General features: G+C 38.3%; 1 annotated feature.

The window, feature by feature from the left end:
• Window positions 13,482-14,681: an enhancer, noted in NCBI's record as "P300/CBP strongly-dependent group 1 enhancer chr6:130923105-130924304 (GRCh37/hg19 assembly coordinates)". NCBI's record gives its function as "activates an origin of replication core promoter dependent on BRD2, BRD4, P300/CBP, MED14 and CDK7 cofactors, with strong dependence on P300/CBP, by STARR-seq in HCT116 cells {active_cell/tissue: HCT116}" and the evidence as "EXISTENCE:reporter gene assay evidence [ECO:0000049][PMID:35650434]".

Genomic DNA, 21,624 nt, shown 5'->3' on the forward strand with positions numbered 1-21,624 from the left:
AAAATTATCCTTTCATTAATAGACAAATTTCTTAATCTTATATTATTTCTCAATCTTTTCTGTCATTGATTTCTTTACAACATTTATCCACATTATCTTACTCTTTTGTGAGTGAAAATCAAAGATAAGCACATTCACAATGGAAGAACTTTGACATGCACAATACTATTTCTCACACTGATTTTGTAGCTAAACAATAAAAGTAAAATATGCTTTTTAGAGGAAAAAGTGCTCTCTATTTTATGTAGAAAGCTTAATACTATATTTTTATCTTTTCCTGATTCATAAAGCATATTTTGTGCCATAGACTTTACATACTTTTATACTATAAAACTAAGTTAAGATAAACAACTAAAATCCAGAATTGAAGAAAAGGGTTTTACAATGTTGTATAGTGTTGTATTATTAAAATATACTTAATGAAAGCTAAGGTTGTATTTGAGTGAGACAAAATGAAATAAACCTACCAGGTTACTAAATATATATAAACTTTTCCTGAGGATATTTATAAATTCACAAAAGAACAAAGGTATGTTACCTTTACTAACTTTTTAATGTCAGTTTTCAAACAAGGCAGTTGAATCTTTTTTGATTCTTGAATATCCTAAGGTTTACTTTTTTTGTCCAGAGAGATTTTCTATTTAATTAGACCTTAAGAATAAGCCTATCCACCCAAAATATTACCTAATTAATTTCCTCCAGTAAAGTGCAGTCATTGCTACCAAAATCAATCTATATAGCCTCACAGTTTTCATTCTTCAAATAATTTCCCTCTTGTTCCTCTTTTTTTCTGACAAAAGAATTCTTTTTAGAATATACATTTAAAAGAATTCTTTCTAGAGTATATTACTTTTTCCCCAGGGCTATCATTAGTTCATTTTCCAAAAACTCATAATGCTAAAGGGAATAATTTGGTAAAGAAAAACCATATGACATCAAAACAGAAGTCAGTCCATCACTTTTCTAGACCAAGTATAGAAGATCTATTCTTGAGTAATAACTCACAACACATAATAGGCAATTTGAAATAATTACACTTATGGAATATCATTATTTATTAGACATTTATCAAAGGAGCAACAACACAATGGAACTAACAACAAGTGTTCATGCATTTTTCAGTGGCTTAAATCAGAACTTTAGACAAATAAAAAACTTTTTAAAAATAAGCCCCTTCTTGGAAAAAAAATGTGCAACCACTTTAAATCATCAAAAAGAGGGTAGAAATGATAAAGAGCATTTGAAGATATAATCTATGAGATAAGACCCCTTCTCCTCTGTGTAAGTGCCCCTCTTCACAACCTTAAAGAGGCTCCATTTTATTCTTATTCAAAAAATAAGAGAAAATATTTTTAATTTTTAAAAATATATTATTCATGTCTAGCATTCCTTACAAGAAGAATTTAGGAACACAAATCAATAATCTATAGGACTATATTGTTATTTTGAGTTGTAAAATTCACCAGTTTTTTCTAGGACTTGGATGCTATGCTTCCACTAATGAAATGAAATTCAAGGTAACTGGTTCAGAGAAAGCTGGTTATAAACATGATATAATGCTAAGAGTTGTCATTACTATTTGAATATGCAGACAGATATTTTTCCTCTTGCACTATCTTTATAAGCCTTTTATTTTATGTGTAGCTTACCATTATTGAAAATAGAGATACCAACTCTTCATAATATGTAGTAGAGAGCTGTGGTCATCTTAATTAACATACTTGTTTATAAGTAAAATTTAAAAAGCAGTAATTAAATTTGTCACAATTTAAATCCTGGGCTAGTTTTAATTTTTAGATTGAATAGTTTTTAACAAAAGCTCACACTACAAGAAAAGTAAGATTTATAAATATATGAACCTGTTTGAGAACATATATTCTTAACTTCATTGTCTAGGAACAGTTTTATATGCAAAAATGTTTAGCCAAGTTTGAATTATAGAATGGTAAGAATATAATTTAGGAAGAAAAAAATCATGTAAAATGTCTGCAGATATGCAAAAATAATCCTATTTAGTCAGAAATATCTGCACTGTAGCACCAGTTGTGCTACCAGCTAATCCCTTCCTTCTTTGAAAATGAGAAGGAACAGATATTTCAGTAGATAAAATGGCACACATACTAAAAGAAGCCTAAATTTATGGAACAACCTGTTCACTTCCTTGGGATTCTATCCAGAAGACACAGAATTGTTTTTAATAACTCTAAAATGGTAGAGTTTAGAAAGCTTAGTTTGAAGAAAAATAACAAAAGGAATGACTACAGTACACATATACCTATAGGCCTTTTGTTATTTTCCTCCAAACTAAGGAATATATTACACAAAAATATATATATATGTGGCCAGGCATGGTGGCTCACGCCTGTAATCCCAGCACTTTGGTAGGCCAAGGCTGGCAGATCACAAGGTCAAGAGATCGAGAACATTCTGGCTAACATTGTGAAACCCCATCTCTACTAAAAATACAAAAATTAGCTGGGTGTGGTGGTGCATGCCTGTAGTCTCAGCTACTAGGGAGGTTGAGGCAGGATAATCGCTTGAACCTGGGAGATGGAAGTTGCAGTGAGCTGAGATCACGCCACTGCACCCCAGCCTGGTGAAAGAATGAGACTCCGTCTCAAAAAAAAAAAAAAAAAATATATATATATATATATAAATATAAAAATAAACATATATAGTCTGTGTATGTTACATATATAAAATATATATATATTTAAAGTCAGGATAGAGCAGGGCAGGTAGGGAATAGAGCATTTTGATTTTCTAGGAGAAAAACAAAAGTTGTTAAGATTTTGTCTTTAAGTTATACCAGGATAACATATTACAGCAAATGGAATGATGGCCCCCAAAAAGATATGTCCAATTCCTAATTCCTGGAACCTGTAAATGTAACCTTATTTGGAAAACAGAGTATTTGCAGATGTAATTATGTTAAGGATTTTGAGATAAAGAGAACATTCTGGATTATCTGAGATAGGTTCTAAATTGAGGGACAAGTGTCCTTATAAGAAACACACAGAAGACAGACACAGAGGAGAAAGCCATGTGAAGACAGAGTCAGAGGCTGAAGTGATGGGGCCACAAGCCAAGGAAAGCTGACAGCCACCAGTAGCTGGTGCCAAGAAATAGCACCTTTCCTAGAGCGTTGGGAAGCAGCACAACCCTGCCAAAACCTACCTAGATGTTGGAATTCAGGTGTCCAGAATGGTGACAGAATAAATGTCTGTTGTTTTAAGCAATTAGTTTGTGATAATTTATTACAGTAGCCACAGGAAAAGAAGACAATGTGTATATGCTGTGTGTGTCTGTGTTTATAACACATATATGTATGTATGTACTCATGCACTAAGACACTGCTAGTACCCCTTCACATATACCATATCACATGAGATTCCATTAAATGGAGTTGAAAAATCTCTGGAATATTATGTCTTAAAGTCAAGTTTAGTTTATGCTATTTGTTGAATATAATTGACATGCCAAGTACTGTGCTAGGCCCTCTGGAAACAACAATAAGTCAGACACCACCTGTACTCATGAAGCATCCCAGTGGAATATCGACAAGTGAACAAACATGGAATACACTAAGATAACTCTTTCTAGGTATGGATGCATGGGAGCCCGAAAAAGAACATACAGCTCAGTATCGGAGGGGGCAGGAACAGAGATCACAGGGAGTTTTCCAGAAAAACAAACACCTAAAGTTAGTAAAACCTGAAAGATGAGTTTGCATGGTAATGCTGGTACAATGGCATGCAAACTCATCTATTGTACCAGTGGTGGCACAATGACATGGAGCAAGGGTTTAGACGGCATAGGGGAAGAACAGAGAAGGTTCAGGCTGAGAGAACAAAATATACATGAAACAAGTTCTGTGAGATAGCAGTGGGTGTGAAAGAGGCAAGGGATGAGACCAAGATGTAGGCAGAGAGCAGAGAATGATGAACCTTGTAAGTCATTCTAAGAAGTTTATACTCTATCATAAAGGCATTGGGTGTTATTGGAGGGTTTTAAGCACAAGAGACATAAGGGGATTTTAAAAAATCATTAAAATCACTATCTATGGTGTTAACTAACATCAGAAAAAATTGGAGCCAGAGATACTTTTTATGAGACAACAGTGGCAGCCCAGGCAAGAGATAAGGATGCTCTGGATTAGAGGAGTGATACAGGGATGAACAGATAGGACATTTCCATGGAGTCATGAAGGGGGTAAAATAGAAAGGAATCAACACTTGGGTAAGTATGTATATGAGGAATAGAAGAGACATCTGGGTTTCTACCTTGAGCAGCTGAGGGGATGGTAGTATTATTTCTCAATTCTGGAAAGTGGGCTGAGGGGCATATCTTGGGGGAGGATATGATGAGCTCAGAGAAGGCGAGTAGGAGAGCCACCCCAGTGGAAGAAGAAAAGCAATTGGAAATGTTGGTTTGTAGCTCAAACCAGAGATACCTGGGTTAGAGACACAGATTTGTAAGTCATCAGCACATAGATGATTGCTGAAGCCATAGGAGTAACTGGGAAATCCCAGAAAGAACAAGTGCAGTAAAAATTAGAAGGGACACAGATGGAACTTGCAGGAATACCACATTGTATAGATAGACAGAGAAAGAAGAACCCCCAAAGGTGACAGAATGAGTAGCCAAAGAAACAGGAGGAAAACCAGAAAAGTATAGTATCACAAAGACAGGCCAGATTTGAGACGGAGAGAACATCCTGAATTATCTGGGATAGATTCTAAATTGAGTCCATGGCCAAAGGAAGGCCAGATTATGAAGACAGGAGTGTGCAGCTGTGTTAGATGCTCCAGATAGTACTGTAATAACTCAGAATTTTCCAGAGCATTTATTGACCAGGAGATGATTGGTGGACTTGGTGAGATGTTCTAAATAGAGCAGAGGAGACAAAAGCCCAACTTCAGCAGGTTGAGTCATAGTGGGGTGGAAAAGTGAAGTGAGTAGCAGGTGTGGTCAACTCTGGTAAGTGATTTAGCTAGGAAGGGGAAAAAAAAGAGAAAATGGAGAATCTGAACATTTGCTTTGTTTTTAAGATGGAAGAGGTCTGAGATGCTAATAATCAGGGTCGTCTTTTAAAAAAATAAATCAATATACCTGGTATTCATATAGACTTTATAATTTTAGAATCGTGGAAAGGAATCTTAAAGGTAAATTAAATTTCTGTCTACTACAGGCATCCTTCTCATAGAATCCCTGTTAGACGGTTGTCCAGACACTTTCTGTGATGGGGGCTCACTACTTCATAAGGGCCCTGATTGCATCACTAGACCACTGTGTCATTTAAAAAGCATCTTCTTAAAATGGCGCAAGCACGCCTTGTCATGATGTAAAGGACCCTTAGCTACAGTTCTGCCTTCTGGTACCATATGTGAATAGAACCATTGTGTGTCCTCAGTTCTTCCAATCTGAGCCCTCCCCACCATCCAGGGTGCTCCGTTCTGGGGGAATCTTCGTTTATGAATATCCATTTTAAAGATTAGTGCATCCAACTATATAATTAAAAGCAACATCTTAAATGTCACATTGTTAGTGCTGAAAACAGCAGGACTGTTACTGCCTATGATCTGAATTTCTGTTAACATAGCATGAGCCCATTGTCAAATAAACAGTTAAAAAAAAAAAAAAGCTGTACTTTGCCTCTGGTCCTGTCAAGCATGACAAAGTTCACTGACTACCACAAAGGAACACTAAGACTACTTAATGTGGAGAGATCTCTCTTGAGGGAGCTGATTGTTATCCTCACAGTGACCTGGTTATCAGCTTTTTCATAAATTCAGTAGCCATTCTGGCTTTTTATAGCATCCACATCTGCTACTAAGAGGTCGACTGTGCCACGCAAATCTTGCTCTAAAGGACTATAGCATAATCTTGTCTTTGCTACTACTACCTGTGGCCATTGAGTAGAAGACCAAGGGGTCACTTACCTTGTCATTTAAATACAATGCACAGGCTGTAAATAGCTTTCAATGTGCTTTTTATTAAGTATTTTATTGCCTTTTTATAGAAATAAAATATAGGTTTTCAACGCAGCTACCTTCAAAGGATTTAAATGTTAATGCCTTTTAAGAGCCATTTTCCCAGGAATGCATCTGATGGTGTAACTGGAACTGTCATAGTAGAACCTAAGTATTTCTCGTGGATCCCATATCTTTGATTGTTTTGATTTTACACTCCTTCATTCATTCAACAAATATGTAATGAGTGTCTCCATGTGCTGGGCATTGTGTTGGATACACAGGCTAGAGTAGTCAACAAAATCCACAAGATTCTTGTCTTCACAGGTTATAGCCCCATGGAGAAATGGATACTGCCCAAGTCAGCATACATACACCATTGTATAATATTCAGGGGTTGGGATGCGTGTTGTGGCAAATGGGAATAGGGCATTCTGAAAAGTAAAACTAGGGCAGGGCAATGCCTAATTTGAAGAGTCAGAAAAGTGACATCAATCTGAGATCTAAAGGGTGAGTAGGTATTTCCCTTTTCTGTTTTTGTTTTTTTGTGTTTTCCAGAGAAAGAGTTGGGGAAGAACATCTCATGTAGAAAGAGCACAAAAACACTCTTTGAAAGTCCTGAGGCTGTTTTCAATCTTAATTTTTCCCTAAGGCATTACAGACGTCTAAGATATCTTGGTTTGATCTGTGCAAATGTAAGACATAGCTATAAATTAGATAGTGAATACATTTTACAGGTGTTAAAAATTGATTCTTTGGCATGCAAATAAACCCAGCCTCCTCAATCATATGTATGACAAGACAACAATTTCTGGAGGTGCTAGCTCTTTCAAGGATTAAAGCACTATATCAATATTTTGTATATGCTGAAAAACTGGCACAATTTTTTTCAAATTCAAGATTATTTTGTCAAACATGAAATGCTCTGAGTTATAGGTACTCTCTGGGTTAGAGTGTGGGAAATCCTTAAAGAGAACTTGTGATCAGACAAAACTGAGAGAGTAAGTGTCTCACCTGTATTTGCATTAATTGCATTTAAAAGCACTATTTTGTTTTCAATAATACCTGATGATGAACCTTCCAGAGAAGAGTGGAAGGCCCATTTCAGGAAAGATTCACTGATCAGACATGCTCTGATACAAGTCTGAGTATCTTGAGATCTGTCTTCAAGGCTCATGAATGTGAAATGATATCACAGGGTGACCCCCTGTCTGGTTTGCCTGGGATTTTTTGTGGTTTTAGCATAAGAAGCTCTGTGTCCCAGGAAACTCTTCTGTCCCAGGCAAACTGGGATAGTTGGTCACCAGACTGCAATAAGGATTGGCTTCCTGGGCAGCCTGTGCCGTCACAGGCTGCCCAGTTCTTAGAAGAGTCCCATGCTTGGTTTAGTGCTTTGCTATTGCTGTTTTAAGTATGTAAATGTTTGAACAAAGGGTCCTACATTTTCCCTTTTCTCTGGGCCCTATAATTTATGTAGCTGGTTCTATCTGGACTTAGCATTTATTGAGCTTTTACCATGTATCGGGCCCTGAACAAATGACCTTATATTAGTTCATCTAATACCTAACTCTGAAAGGGAGTTATTATAATGTACTAGTTTTACACATGAAGAAACTGTTGAAGATGGTAAGCAATTTAACAAGATAGTTAACTGAAGGGAACATAAATTCAAATTAAGAACTGCCTGGCCCCAAGTCCCTCTAGCTTTCTGCTCTGCTGTGCTGAGGCTTAAATAGCACCCTGCAGTGGGGATAGGTACCGTCAGGTTCCTTCTTAGGAAGTTATTGATTATGCTGATCCTAGATGGCCAAGTATTGGCAACTTTGTAGAGTTCAAACTGATAATAAAAACCATGTTAAAAATCGCCACTGCTTTAGACATGAGCAATTCCCCCTCCTATCTTAGCCTTTCTACAATTTGTCTTTGACCTGGCAACTAACATTGTTTTTATTATTCCTTCCTTTAGATTTTCCTTGAAAGGAAGGTGGTATGTATGTATGTATGGGGCCTGGCATGAGGCAAGATTGGAATTCACAATTCAGTTAAAGAAAATAGGCAAATGACAACGTTAGGAAATGATTTGAAAGGAAGAGCTCTACACCCCTGCCACAAAACTAAACAGGTAAAATGGCCTCCTCTGGCTTCTCTGAGTCTTCTTGTGTGTTCTGTTCACTCTGGTCTCTAATAGCTGTTTGGATGCAGAATCAGAATTTTCCATGGGACTTACTATTGATGCTCTTCGGAAATACTGCCCTTTCCTCAACTACTGTCTTCCTTAGAGCAAGTTTAAGTGAGCTTTTCTGAAGGTTCTTGGAAATTGAGAGAATACAGTTCCCATCTTTATCTTCATTTCTCATTTCATCTAGAAGCACCATTCTATTTTCAGTTATTCCTGAGGGCTAAACCTGCAGTAATTGGGGCAACCCATCTCTGTGATTGTATCACTGTATCTGCTTCATATCCAAGCAACCACCAAGTCCATGTGTGTTCTTGCTAGAATCGACCATCAAGTCTTCAAGATCTTTAAGAGATGGTCTGCAGAGTCCATAAATTACTCACTGTCACAGGAGTTCTTCCACTTGTCTGATCATAGGAATCGTCAGACCCTCCACCTGTAAGTTACATGACCTTCCTGGAGATTTTAGTGCATTAATGACAGGGTGTGGTACAGAATACAGAGAAGAGCGTAAAGGCCCAGGGGGATCTGCTCAGGCAAATGTGAGAAACACTCCTGAAGCCTTTTTCTGTGTTTTATAGTTTTCACCTGTTTTACTCTGAAACTGAAAATAAGAGACTCTCTTTTACTATTATGGTGAAATAGCTGGAAAAAATGCCAAAATCCACATAATATATTTTTCACATAAACTGATTAAAAGTAACTAGAGACATGCTGACATTTAGGAGAAAGTAGGTTAATTAAAAGATAAGTTTTCAAGAGAAGAGATTCATTTTTAAAAAATATTCAGAGGTCATGAAGATCCCACTACTGTGTGACCACTTGGGAAATAAAACACACACACTTACATGTGTGAATGCATGCTTACTTACACACACAAACACACACACACACACCCTCTACTCCATGATATGGACAATTATGCTGCCTATGACCTAAATCCTGCAGGACTGCTATTGGTGATACTGTCAATAAGATGAAAGCTTTCCAAAATATATATATATATATTAGCTGAGCCTTTTAGCCAAAATTGGAAGGTAGTATTAACCTTTTCATGCTCTTCATGCATATTCAAAACAAAAATCATTTCTCATGCAGCAGTTGTAATTGATAATGTTACACTCTTATTGTATTAGAGACCATAAAGCCTTTGAACACACACACACACAAAATCTGAGTGTAGCTGGGTTCTGCTCCCAAAACTCCTGGGTTTGGGGGACTTTTTTTGATATATCCATATATTACTCTAATGAGTGGCTGCTGAGGAGCTGCATTTCTCATCCAGCCTATGGGAGCTGATCATGCTCTAACTTCTATGCCAAAAGCACTCTGGATGACACAGTCTATGCCTCTAATGAAGGGGGAGAAGAAAACCGTAGAGGTCAGGAGCTGTTTTGAAGATCTCTTGAGCAGGTCTTTGCAAAGGCAGTCATTTCCTTTATCAGCACACATTAACAAAAACCTTCTGGTGGGGAGTCTGACTTGTCTGTTATCAAGTAATGGTTAGAAAAAAAATTAAGTGATTAATAGAAAATGTCAGCTAAAATGAGACTTTTTAACTGCCTCACTGACCTTAGATGATAGCTTCAAGTAGGTCTCTTTTCTTTATAGGCAAGAGAATATGACAGAACAAAACACAGTGATGACAAAATATGGTGATCCAGTGTAGCTCTAGGTTTCAGCTTTCAGAGTGAAACAATGCCATTGCAAGAGGGTTTTTTCATCCTTGATTCTCTATAATCTGCACATTCCTTTACTTGTTCTTTTATCTATATTCCCCCCAGGGGAATATTGTGGTTTGGCTGTGATGGAATAAACCAGACTAAAGAAGGTAGAAGCTAAGAGTCTAGTGAGACACAACTGATCAAACAAAGGATAGGCACCAGCCCATGAGAACAACATATGGAATGGGTTAGTCAAAGGACAGGTCTACAGAGGTGTGAGTCCACAGGTTCCATCTAGAAGGTGCATCTATAGAAAATGTTCAGGAGGAAAGGGAGATATAATGCATGGTAAGGGTATGTAATGTATGGATTTTTAAGCAAGAGACAATAGGTGATAGTGTTAGAAGGCAGGTGGTTGGCATTAGAATTCAGGCACAACGAATCTAGCATTCACTGGCAGGAAATCTAGATAAGCACAGTCACCAGGCAACAAGGTTGGAACTCTATCTCAAACAGCAAGGCAAGAGATCAGTTACTAGGAAACCAGGGTACCCAAGTTAGAGAGAGATCAGCTTTCTTTACCGAAACATCAGAGGTTATATACTCTGTCCTCATTTTTATGCATTATGCTAAGGAAGTAGACATTTAAACTAAATCCTGGATATGCAAAGAAAATGTCAACCCATAAGGGCCTCTATATAAAATATATATATATATGTAGAGAGAGAGAGAGAGAGAGAAAGAGAGAGAGAGAGAAGACAAAACTCAATTCATTGTCTTTCCCCACTTAGCTAATTATGTAAGTCAAAAATTAATTGGTATACTGTATATGTGAACTTTCAAAGGAGTTAAGAAATACAACTCTTTATTATTGAGCAGCAGCTATTCCTTATGAAAATGTCCTTTAATCTAGTTGGTTGTTATGTCCTATCTGCCGAGATGCACCACCCAATACCACAGTTTTGCTGTGGGATCTATGTAATCAGTCCTCCTGGTTGTCAAAGCATCATCTCTTGAGATTTATTCCAGTAATCTAAGAAGAAACATGAAAGTCCTGTTTGTAGCACATAATTGAATATTTTAAAGTTCCTTTTGGATTTCCTTTTCATATTTGCTTGCTGATTAACTGAAATCCATTTTCAGGTCATAAATACAAAACTAAGAGCAAAAATCAGAGAGAGTAAGGAAAAGGTGTCTACTGTGAATCCATAGAAGTGTTGATTACATATATACCTTATAAAACAAGGAAACTCAATTTTTACCTTGTACATGGTTTCAATTTATTGTTGTCTACAAAAATCTCCAACCCCTGATTTTGGTCAATAATGTAAATTTATTTCATGTTCTTTAATTACTAAATATTTCAGGTCTACAATGTATATGTAGATATATAATACTTGAGAGAGAGAAGAGAACTATTAGTTATAATAAATGTCATTACTTTGTGTTTTCTTCTCAGTGATTCAACATCAGTGGTTATCAAAGTGTGGTCCCTGAACCCAAAATAGTATCACCAGCAACTTTGTTAGAAATACAAATTGTGGGCCCAGGCCCAAACTTACAGAACCAGAAACTCGGGGGGTAGGGCCCAGCATTCTGTTTAACAACAAATTCTGATTCTGATGAATGCTTCAGCTTAAGAGCCACCATTCTACACCTTGCAGATGACTTCCAAATCGACATCTGTTTCCAAATGCCTAATGAACACAGACTTAGAGATATAGCACAATCCAAATATCTCAAAATTCAAGTTTGTCATCTCCTTGATAAAACCAGTTTCCCTTCCCTGTACTCCCTAATACTCCCTAATACTACCTGTACTCCTTAGCTAATCAGAGCTGTCTAATTACCAAGTGTGTTAGTTTTCTATTGATTGTTGCATTAAAAATTCCCCAAACTCAGCTCACATAGTTTCTGAGAGTTGGAATTCTGCGAACAGCTTAGCTGAGTGGTTCAGGCTCAGGATCTCCTGTGAGGTTGTGGTGGTCAAGATGTCAGCTGGGGCCGGGTGCGGTGGCTCACACCTGTAATCCCAGCATTTTGGGAGGCCAAGGTGGGCAGATCACGAGGTCAGGAGATCAAGACCACGGTGAAACCCCATCTCTACTAAAAATACAAAAAAAAAAAAATTAGCCCGGTGCAGTGGCGGGCACCTGTAGTCCCAGCTACTCGGGAGGCTGAGGCAGGAGAATGGCATGAACCCGGGAGGTGGAGCTTGCAGTGAGCTGAGATCGCCCCACTGCACTCCAGCCTGGGTGACAGAGCGAGGCTCCGTCTCAAAAAAAAAAAAAAAAGAGAGAAAAGAAAAGAAAAAAAGATGTCAGCTGGGGCCATAGTTATATAAAGACTTCTTTGGGCTAGAGAAATGACTTTCAAGCTCACTCACATGGGTATTGTCAAGAGGCCCCAGTTCCTTACCACGTGTGCCTACCATAGGGCTAATTACTAGAAGGCAGCCACTTCCCCCAAGCAAATATTCAAGAATAAGCAACCAAGGAAAAAGGGCACACTGATTTTATAACCTAATATCAAAAACCACACACCATCACTTCTGCCATTATTGGTCAATGAGGCCAATCCTGGTACAATGTGGGAGGGGATGACATGAGCATGAGACTACCAGGAGGTGGGGATCATTGGGAGTCATCTTGGAAGCGTTAACCGTGCCCAGACAAGTATTACCAGGAGATTTCCAACTCTCTTACTCTCACTGTTATATACAACCCATAGCCAAGACTCATCAATTATTCAGTATCTCCCATGCCTGTCCCCTTCATTGTAGTACTTTTCCTGACTCACTCTTCTATCTCACTATCTTGCCTCCAATCTCTATACTATTCCAACATTCCTTCTCACAGCTGGGTAACATTCCTAAAATACAAGCCAGATTTGCCACAACAGACCTTCAAAACCTCTCTTGCTTCCTATCAAGTAAGTGATTCTTACTTAGAATGGCATTTACAGCTTCCTCTGACCTAAGTATAATCTGTCTTCCCAGGACCATTTCCTGCTATAACTCTTCATTCTTCTCTCTCCAGGCCAATGATTGGATATCTTCCCCAACTCTTTGTTTCTAGCAAAGCTCTTTTGATATTCTATTTATCCAGAACAACCTCTTTCTACTCCAAAGCCAAGATCAGATGCTGTCTTTACTGATATTCCAGTCAGAATGAATTATTATCATCCACGGCATGTTATACCTCCAATACAGAATTAGTTGCAGCTGTAGTTAGTTGTTTAAGAGTCCCTATTTCACCTACAGATTTTAATCTCCCCAGGGTTAGGGGTTTTCAGTTATCTTTATTATCAATACAATATTAGGGTTTGTTGAATTAAAATATATAATTTCAATAGGCCCTTTCATGTGAGAGATGATTCATACTATTCTCAACAATGCAAAGGAAAGGTATTTAAGTTTGAAATAATCATGACTATTCCCCTAAAGAGTAGCCCTTCCTACAAAGTTTCTAGTTGGAAAAGTAGCCTACAATATCCAGGCTATATTTTCATTTGAAAGACTTTTCCTACAGACAGATGGGACAGTCTCCTTTTACAATGGAACCTAGAAATGTGCATGGAGATGGAAGTGGTGAAGGCTCGTAAGTGTGGCTTATAAACGTGTTAAAATCTAGGGTGATGGGAGCCCCTAAAGGGTTTTTACAAGGGAAGTACCTGATCAGATTTTTATTTGGAGGAATTGCCTCTGAGGGAATTACAGGCTACCTGTCTGAATTGGACGGGGACAGAAGTCAAACCAACGGGTGATGGTGGTACGCTTGTCTACAGTGAAGGCAGAAAAGATGGAAAGAAGAGAGTTGCTCAGGGGGTAGAACTGGCCAGACATGATGATTGATTGTGAGGGAGAGAGCTGAAGGTCTGGAATGATGCCCCGGTGAGGGTTTTGTGCCTGTGAATCTGGACCTAGGATCAGGACTCAGTGGGGAAAAACACCTTAGAGCATGAACTTTGCACAACATGGTACCAGCATCATTGTCATGTATGGAAGACAGCCCATTCTGGAGAGAGGCCACAGGAGCTATCAGGAAATTACGCTGACCTTTTTTCACAAATGAATAGGCTCAAAATTAGATTCTTACACCGACTGACTAAAGGGAAAGCTATTAAACTGTCAGACAAGAGCTCTCCCTGGTTTTTATGAGTTACCATGATTCATCGTTCCAGGGGAAGGAGCTGAGCAAGAATCATTTCCGTGGCTTCTCAGGAGTTCCTGAAAGATCACACGCTACAGCATGAAAGCGGAAAGACTGATTCATAATGATAGCACCAAATATCAAATCAAACATCTAAATACAAAGTGTGCATGCTTGATATGTGATTATCAGGCATGTGATGAGGTTTTACTAAATCAACTTGATTGTTCTGGTTAGTATTATGAACGCCCTTTCATCTGAGGGTAGGGATGATAGAGATACAGAAGATAGCCACATATAACACAAAATCTTTCTAACTAAACATAGTTGACACCAATTATGACAGTCTCACATATAACATGCTTCACGTGATTAAGGGTTCTTATATTACATGGTACATTTGAGTACTGGTGGGGAAATGGCCAATAAAATACAGCATATCTTCCAGGGAGTTTTTTAAACATTTGCATTTGGATACCCTGAGAGGAAGCAAGTATCTTTCAGCCCACAGCCACAGATATGCTTAATTCTCTCACCGATAGTATTGCCTGGCTTCTGAGTTGGGAAATCTGAAGGAGAACAACCAAGAATGCTGAAATGGGGCAGGGCGCGGTGGCTCACGACTATAATCCCAGCACTTTGGAGGCCGAGCCAGGCAGATTACCTGAGGTCAACATGGTGAAACCCTGTCTCTACTAAAAATACAAAAATTAGCCAGGCATGGTGTCACACACCTGTAATCCCAGCTACTCGGCAGGCTGAGGCAGGAGAATTGCTTGAACCTGGGAGGCAGAGGTTGCAGTGAGACGAGATTGCGCCATTGCACTCCAGCCTGGGGGAAAAGAGCGAGACTCCGTCTCAAAAACAAAAAACAGAAGCAAAAAGAGTGCTAAAATGGGTATCCTTGAGAACAATTAATACAAGTCACTGAGCTAATTTGAAAGGAGACAGAAACACAGGAGGGTCGCCCTGCAGCTTAGAGTATCTCCCTGCCCAGGATATGCATCATCCCTCTGAAGCCATGCTGGCCCTAACCCTTATTATTCCCCTTAATAGCTCTTAAGGTACAATCCCTAAAAAGTCTTAGGAGGCCAGGCCCTGTGTGTGTGGATCCTGCTCCCACTTCCAGATTCTTGTCCCATCACTCACTTACCTTTCAGCAATCTGACCTCCATCCCCACAGAGCATCGCAGGTCATCGCAGCAGAGCCCTGTGTGGCATCCCACCCAGCTCCCCTTTCAAGCCCAAGGCACTCATTTCCCCCAGCTGCTAGGAATTTAAGCTGCTTAGCTCACACCTGAGTCCCACTTTGGGAATTGCCCTCACCTGGTTCTCCTAAGGTCATGCCCCCACCTCGGGACAGAAGATTGGTCCATAAGTAGCCTCAGAGGCCTGAATTTTAGGCAGCTCCAAAGGACACTCCAACTCCAGAGCCTCCTCCTTTCCTTACAGGTGTTATTCGTGAAAGCACACCCGATAAACACCTGGCCACAAATCTCTGTTTCAGAGTCTGTTTCCAGGGAGCCCACACCAGGACACAAGCCCTCCTCATGCCTGCCCCAAAGCCTTTGTTTCTGTTCTTCCCTCTGTCTGAAACATTCTTCAGCCATCCTCCTTTCCCTCTTTCCCCAAGTGTCTCACCTACTCCTCTTTCTTAGTTCTGGGGTCACTTTTCCAAGAATGTCTTTCCTGAAAGTCCAGTCTAATTCAGGTCCCACTGTTCTATGCTTTCGTGGAAACCAGTTCCCTTTCTTTATAGGGCTTCCATTTGCAATTATGCAGACATTAATTTGCATGTCTGCCTTACCTACTCCAGTAAACTCCATGAGAGAAGGAGCTCTGTTCCTTCTCACATTGGTGTTCCAGCATACAGCAATGAATCTGGCTCAAGTTTGGAATTCAACGAATAGACATTAAATTGTCTGGTGGATTAATTGATTGATTGGTGGAGTGAATGGCCTCTGCCATCAAAGTCCTTTCTTTTTCTGATTCATCTTCCTGATAACAGGGAGCCCCATTTTCTGGTGACCATTCCTCACTGTGAGGTTTTTAAAGTGCAACCATGTGATAAGCTGTAATTATTGTCTTTACCAAGATCATCTTAAGCATTGTATGTTTCATCTGTCAAATGCTAATCATCTAAGAATGTTGAGGCTGAAAACAAGAGAAATGTATGCATCCTCAGCACTGTACTTTCATGGTAGGAATTCCAAATAGCTAATGGACAATAACAATAAAATAGCTCAGTATTAAAATCAGGATCACTACTTCACCAAAGTCTTTTAAAGTGTTTGTAGTAAAGTTGTGGGAGATTGAGCTCTAAAATGCAGAGGAAAAGAGCTCTTTTTACTTCTACTTTCAGAGACTTTTGTTCTAGAAATTATTTTTAGTGTCGGTAAATTATGCTAATTAAGACAACTAAACTAAAAAAGTATATTTAGAACCAAGAGAACATATTTTACTAATGGTTTATGATTTCCCAAGCAGATTTAAAATTAGATTTATGTTATTTTAAGATATTTTTGTTTATCCAGCCAAATGTCACCCTAAAGGTCAAGCTGGCCAGAGAAAAGGGAGAAATTACTCTCCAACCAGCATTTTCTAAGCACATTCACTGAGCAAGGAATTCAAAGCCAAGGTCATTGGTGTCAGGAGAGATATAGTCTCGGAGGTTGCTGAATGATTCTAAAATCTTGTTAAGGACTCTGAAAAAGAGAAGAGAAAAGCCAGATCTTGACAGGCCGGAGCTTGCCTGGTGCTGTCAGTACTGTCCTGGCACTCAGAGCTAGGTTGTGGTGCTGTCCTGCTGAACACAATTTCACAGAACACCCACATCAGTCAAGTCCCCTGTATGACTTTGATAGATCATGACAAAATCAAGACACTTCCAAAAGATGTCTGAACTTGTACAAAAACAAGAACATTGTCCAAACCCCCCAAAATATTAAACATCCCCTACCCTAGCTGATATGAAAGCTGCTTCTTTACCAATTACAGCTTTAGCCTCACTTCATTCCTCCTGCCATATAGATAAGATTTATAAAAGATACCCAGTCATAGAATTGCTTCCCAACAGCATCCAATCTGGAGCAAAACCTACTTCCTTGAATCTTCTCAAAAATTGTCTAACACAAGCCCAGATCATGTGGGTCCTTTCTACCACGTTCTTATTGAGTCACCCCACAGCTCTCCATGGTATATGGTCTTCCTCATTGGAACAAGTCAATAAACTCCATTTGGTTTAGCTATGGTTGTACTGCAGGTGGTCTTTCATTGGGGGCCATAGACAACTCTCAACAGAGAAAGAAGTAACATTTAGAGAAGATATGGTTACAGTCAAATTGCCTTTATTAAATATTTAAACTTGAAATATACACACTTATTTCCACACCTTCACTCTAAAGCCAAACCAATAATTTCATAGTGTAGTAAACATTTGGGGCAAAACAAATTATGAATCAAGTCCTTCCTGTATCTCAGATAGGAAACGATAAATGATGGAAAGTCAGGAAATATAATAAATAGGGAAACAAAAGGACTATAACCTTTTAAGTAGCAATTGTCAAGACCATTAAGTAGAGTCGAGTCCTGGTGAAGCACAGTTGTCATGGGGAATAGGAGAAGAGTGGCCTCCGAGGAACAAGGTGAGCCCTGAGTATTAGGGCCAAAGCTCAGGCATAGAACTATGCAGGCGATATGGTTTTGCAAGGCCACAGGCATCGTGCTTTCCTGCATATGCCTTTACCTAAACAGTCTGTTTTCTTCTCTATTGTAGAATATGTTATTCACTTACTTAAATTTCATCTGATTTAGTTCAATGGTATATGCGGACTTTTTTTTTGGTCTTTACATATCTATAAAGGCACTGTTATCCAAGTCTCAGGTTTAAGTCTTAAGTTTTACCCAAAAAGGTTTAGAATAATCTAAGGAAAGTATTCCTCTGTGATATATTTTTAAGCAAACAGACAGAGGGAAATCTGATTTATCCAATAATTAAAGGAATAATACTAAGTCTATGTATCTTTTTTATAATGGTATACTTAATCTGAGAACATCAGAGCATTATAACAAAGACATTCCATGCTACAGTCAGAGAAACTCACAGTCTAAGAGGTGCCAACCCTAACTAAACAGGCACAGTGAGGATAGTGTTGCTCCAACTGATAGTTCCAAGTAGTAGCTTCTTGTTTTTTAAGTTTATTTTAATTTTGATTTTTTACAAATGTCAAGTAAAATGTTACATAAAAACATGTATTGGGCCAGGCGCAGTGGCTCATACCTGTAATCCCAGCACGTTGGGAGGCGAAGACGGGCAGATCACAAGGTCAGGAGATCGAGACCATCCTGGCCAACGTGGTGAAACCCCATCTCTACTGAAAAAATACAAAAAAATTAGCTGGGTGTGGTGGCGCATGCCTGTAGTCCCAGCTACTTGGGAGGCTGAAGCAGGGAAATTGCTTAAACCTGGAAGGCAGAGGTTGCAGTGAGCCAAGAATGTGCCACTATGCTCCAGCCTGGCAATAGAACAAGACTCAGTCAAAAAAAAAAAAAAAAAAAAAGCATTAACAGGCAATATAGTGTGAAGATTAAGAACATAGACTACATTTAAACAGACTTGGGTTTTCAGCCTGACTCTGTTGCTTTCACAGAACATGACTGCTGTGATTTGGATGTGTCTCCCAAAGTTTATGTGTTGGAAAAGTCCTCTGTACAACAGTGTTAGGAGGTGAGATCTAATAAGAGGTTATTAGATCATAAGAGCTCTTCCCTCATGAGTGGATTAATATCATTATCAAGGGAATGGGCTAGTTATTGCCAGAGAGGGCTTACTATACAAGAAAGTTTGGTTCCCTCTTGACCTCTGGCTCTCTCTTAGTCTCTTATTTAATCACACTCTCTTGCCCTTCCAACGTTCTGCCATATGATGATGTAGCACAAAGGCCCTTGTCAGATGCAAGCACCATGCTTTTAGACTTCCCAGTCTCCAGAACTGTGGGCCAAATAAACTTCTATTGTTTATAAATTACTCAGTCTGTGGTATTCTGTTCTAGCACCAGAAAACAGACTAAAACAGTGACTATGGGCAAGTTACTTGAAACTCTCAAAACCTGTTTCCTCATCAGTGAAATGGACATAATAATAGTATCTACACAAGAGAGTTCTTATTGAATTCAATGCCGTGGTGCCTGTAAATGTTCAGCTCAGTGTCTGGCACACAGTAAGTGCTATGATTACTGTTGTGATTGTGTTGTCACCTGTGTTCAATCAAGTACAGAAATCTTCAATCTGAAATAAAGGATTTTGAAGACTCAAGCTATATTACCTTTGTGAAGAAAACTATATATATATATATATATTTAAATATATTTTAACATTAGGTTTGGAACTCTGATAGAAGACTTTAATAAATCTAGCACTTAATAAACATTCACTCTGTATTTGCTTAGCCTTATGCTTTGTATCCGGGCAGGCGAAGGATTAGAGAAGAGAAAGCCAAATAAGATATTATTTAGATACAGACAAGTTCAAAATTAACAGTAAAATATGACTGACTTTGTAAGTACTATAATCAATTTCCAACAATGTTATCCTAGGAAAAGAAAAGTTCAATTATGAATAAGACAGTCTAGGAGGCCTCATGGAGGTGGTGATATTGAAACAAGAGTGGGATTTCCTCAGGCAAAGATTGGGATTGTGGGTCTGGAATAACAACATGAGTAGACAAATTAACATTTAAAAAAAGAACAGAAGTAGAAAGGTATAGAAGATGTCAAGAGAATTGGGTATAGAATGAGAGACTTGCTGGGTGTGTGGGGACTGGCTGAGGAAATCATGAAGGCTCTATAATGAAGGGCTCTTCGTGGGCCCTGTTAAAGAGTTTAGATCTAGCCTCAGGTCTAGTTGCCCTAACAAAAATACCATAGACTGGGTTGCTTAAACAACAATAATTTATTCCTCACAGTTCTGGAGACCAGAAAGTCCAAAATCAAAATACAGGTTGATTAGGTTTCTGATGAGGGCCCTCTTCCTGGTTTGTAGACAGACACCTTCTCACTGTGTCTCTTCACATGGCAAAGACACACACACACACACACACACACACACACACACACACACATACAAACAGAGAGAGATCTGACTTCTCTTCCTCTTCTTATGGGGACACTAATTCTGTTATAGGGGATCCACCCTCATGACATCATCTAATTGTAATTACCTCCCAAAGTCCCACCTCCAAATATCATCACACTAGGGATTAAGGGCCTCCACATGTGAATTTGGGGGAGCACAAACATTCATAATGTCTTAACCTATACACAAAGAGAAACACTGACAATTGTGAGGAGGCAAATAAAATCATGAGATTGCTTAGGAAGGTTAATCTGGTGTGAATAAGTGTGAAGAATTGAAAGGAGACAAAGAGACCAGCTAAAATGTTGCTACAATAGTTCAATATAGAAGCACCATATTTTATAAAACCTGTAACATCATTAGACACATCATTTTTTAAATTTAATTCTAAAGAAGAAAGTGCTTCCATTGATTTACAATGTAACATTTTATTTAATAGAATTTTAATTTTATACTTACTGAAAGAACTATTTGAGAAGTTTTTAGGCATCATTGTGTTTTATATGTCACTCTTTGTATTAACATAGACAATCTGAGGGAAATACAGCAGTTAAGGTATTTCTGAAACTCACATTCACAGTCCACTTCTTCTCAATCACTTTTTGATTTAGTCATTATGGTGTATATTATTATAGAGTTCATCCACATATACATAGGGTGATGATTTTTAAATAATCACATTTTATATTTTATTTTGTCACTTTTTTTTTTACTTAACATACCATAGACATCTTTTCAGTTAATTAATTGTAGTTTGATACCATCATTTAAATTCATTCAACAACTATTACTGAGCATCTAGGCCTTGGGCGAGGTACTAGGGAAACACTGAGGAGTAAAAGTAGGTGGGGGTGTCACTCTGGTGGAGTGTGACCAAAGTAAAGAATTTCCTGGTGGCACACATTTTCTTTCCTTCTAGATTTGGGTTTTTTTATTATAATATTATGATGAATTTCCTTATTAGTTTATCTCTTTATAAATCCCATGGTAAGCTTCCTTGTAGTCCTAGCTATTCAGGAGGCTGAGGATCACTTGAGCCAAGGAGGTAGAGGCTGCAGTGAGCCAAGATAGCGCCACAGCACTCCAGCCTGGGTAACAGAGTGAGACACCATCTGAAAAAAAAAAAAAAAAGTTCCTAAAAGTATAACGTCTGGGCCAAGTGGCTTGCCTATGTTACACATATTTAAGGATTTTGATACATATTGTCAATGTTCCCTTCAGAAATGCAGCAATTCATATTCTTCCCATCAACATTCCCCTCCTGTGCCTATGTCCTCACAACTCTCCCAACCTGGATTTTATCATTCTTTTACATCTTGGCTAATCAAGAGGTAAACACTGATATTTTATCATTATAAATTGCATTTCCTGATTACTGCTGATGTGGAATATATTTTTATATTTTTTAGCAAAATACATTTTTATATAATGTTTATATTTTATATAATAACACACTATTTTTATATAATATACCTATTATATAAATATATATTTTGCATACACTTTATGTGTATTAGCCATTTATATAT

The sequence above is a fragment of the Homo sapiens genome, chromosome 6 (genome assembly GCF_000001405.40).
Source record: "Homo sapiens chromosome 6, GRCh38.p14 Primary Assembly".
NCBI lineage: Eukaryota > Metazoa > Chordata > Mammalia > Primates > Hominidae > Homo > Homo sapiens.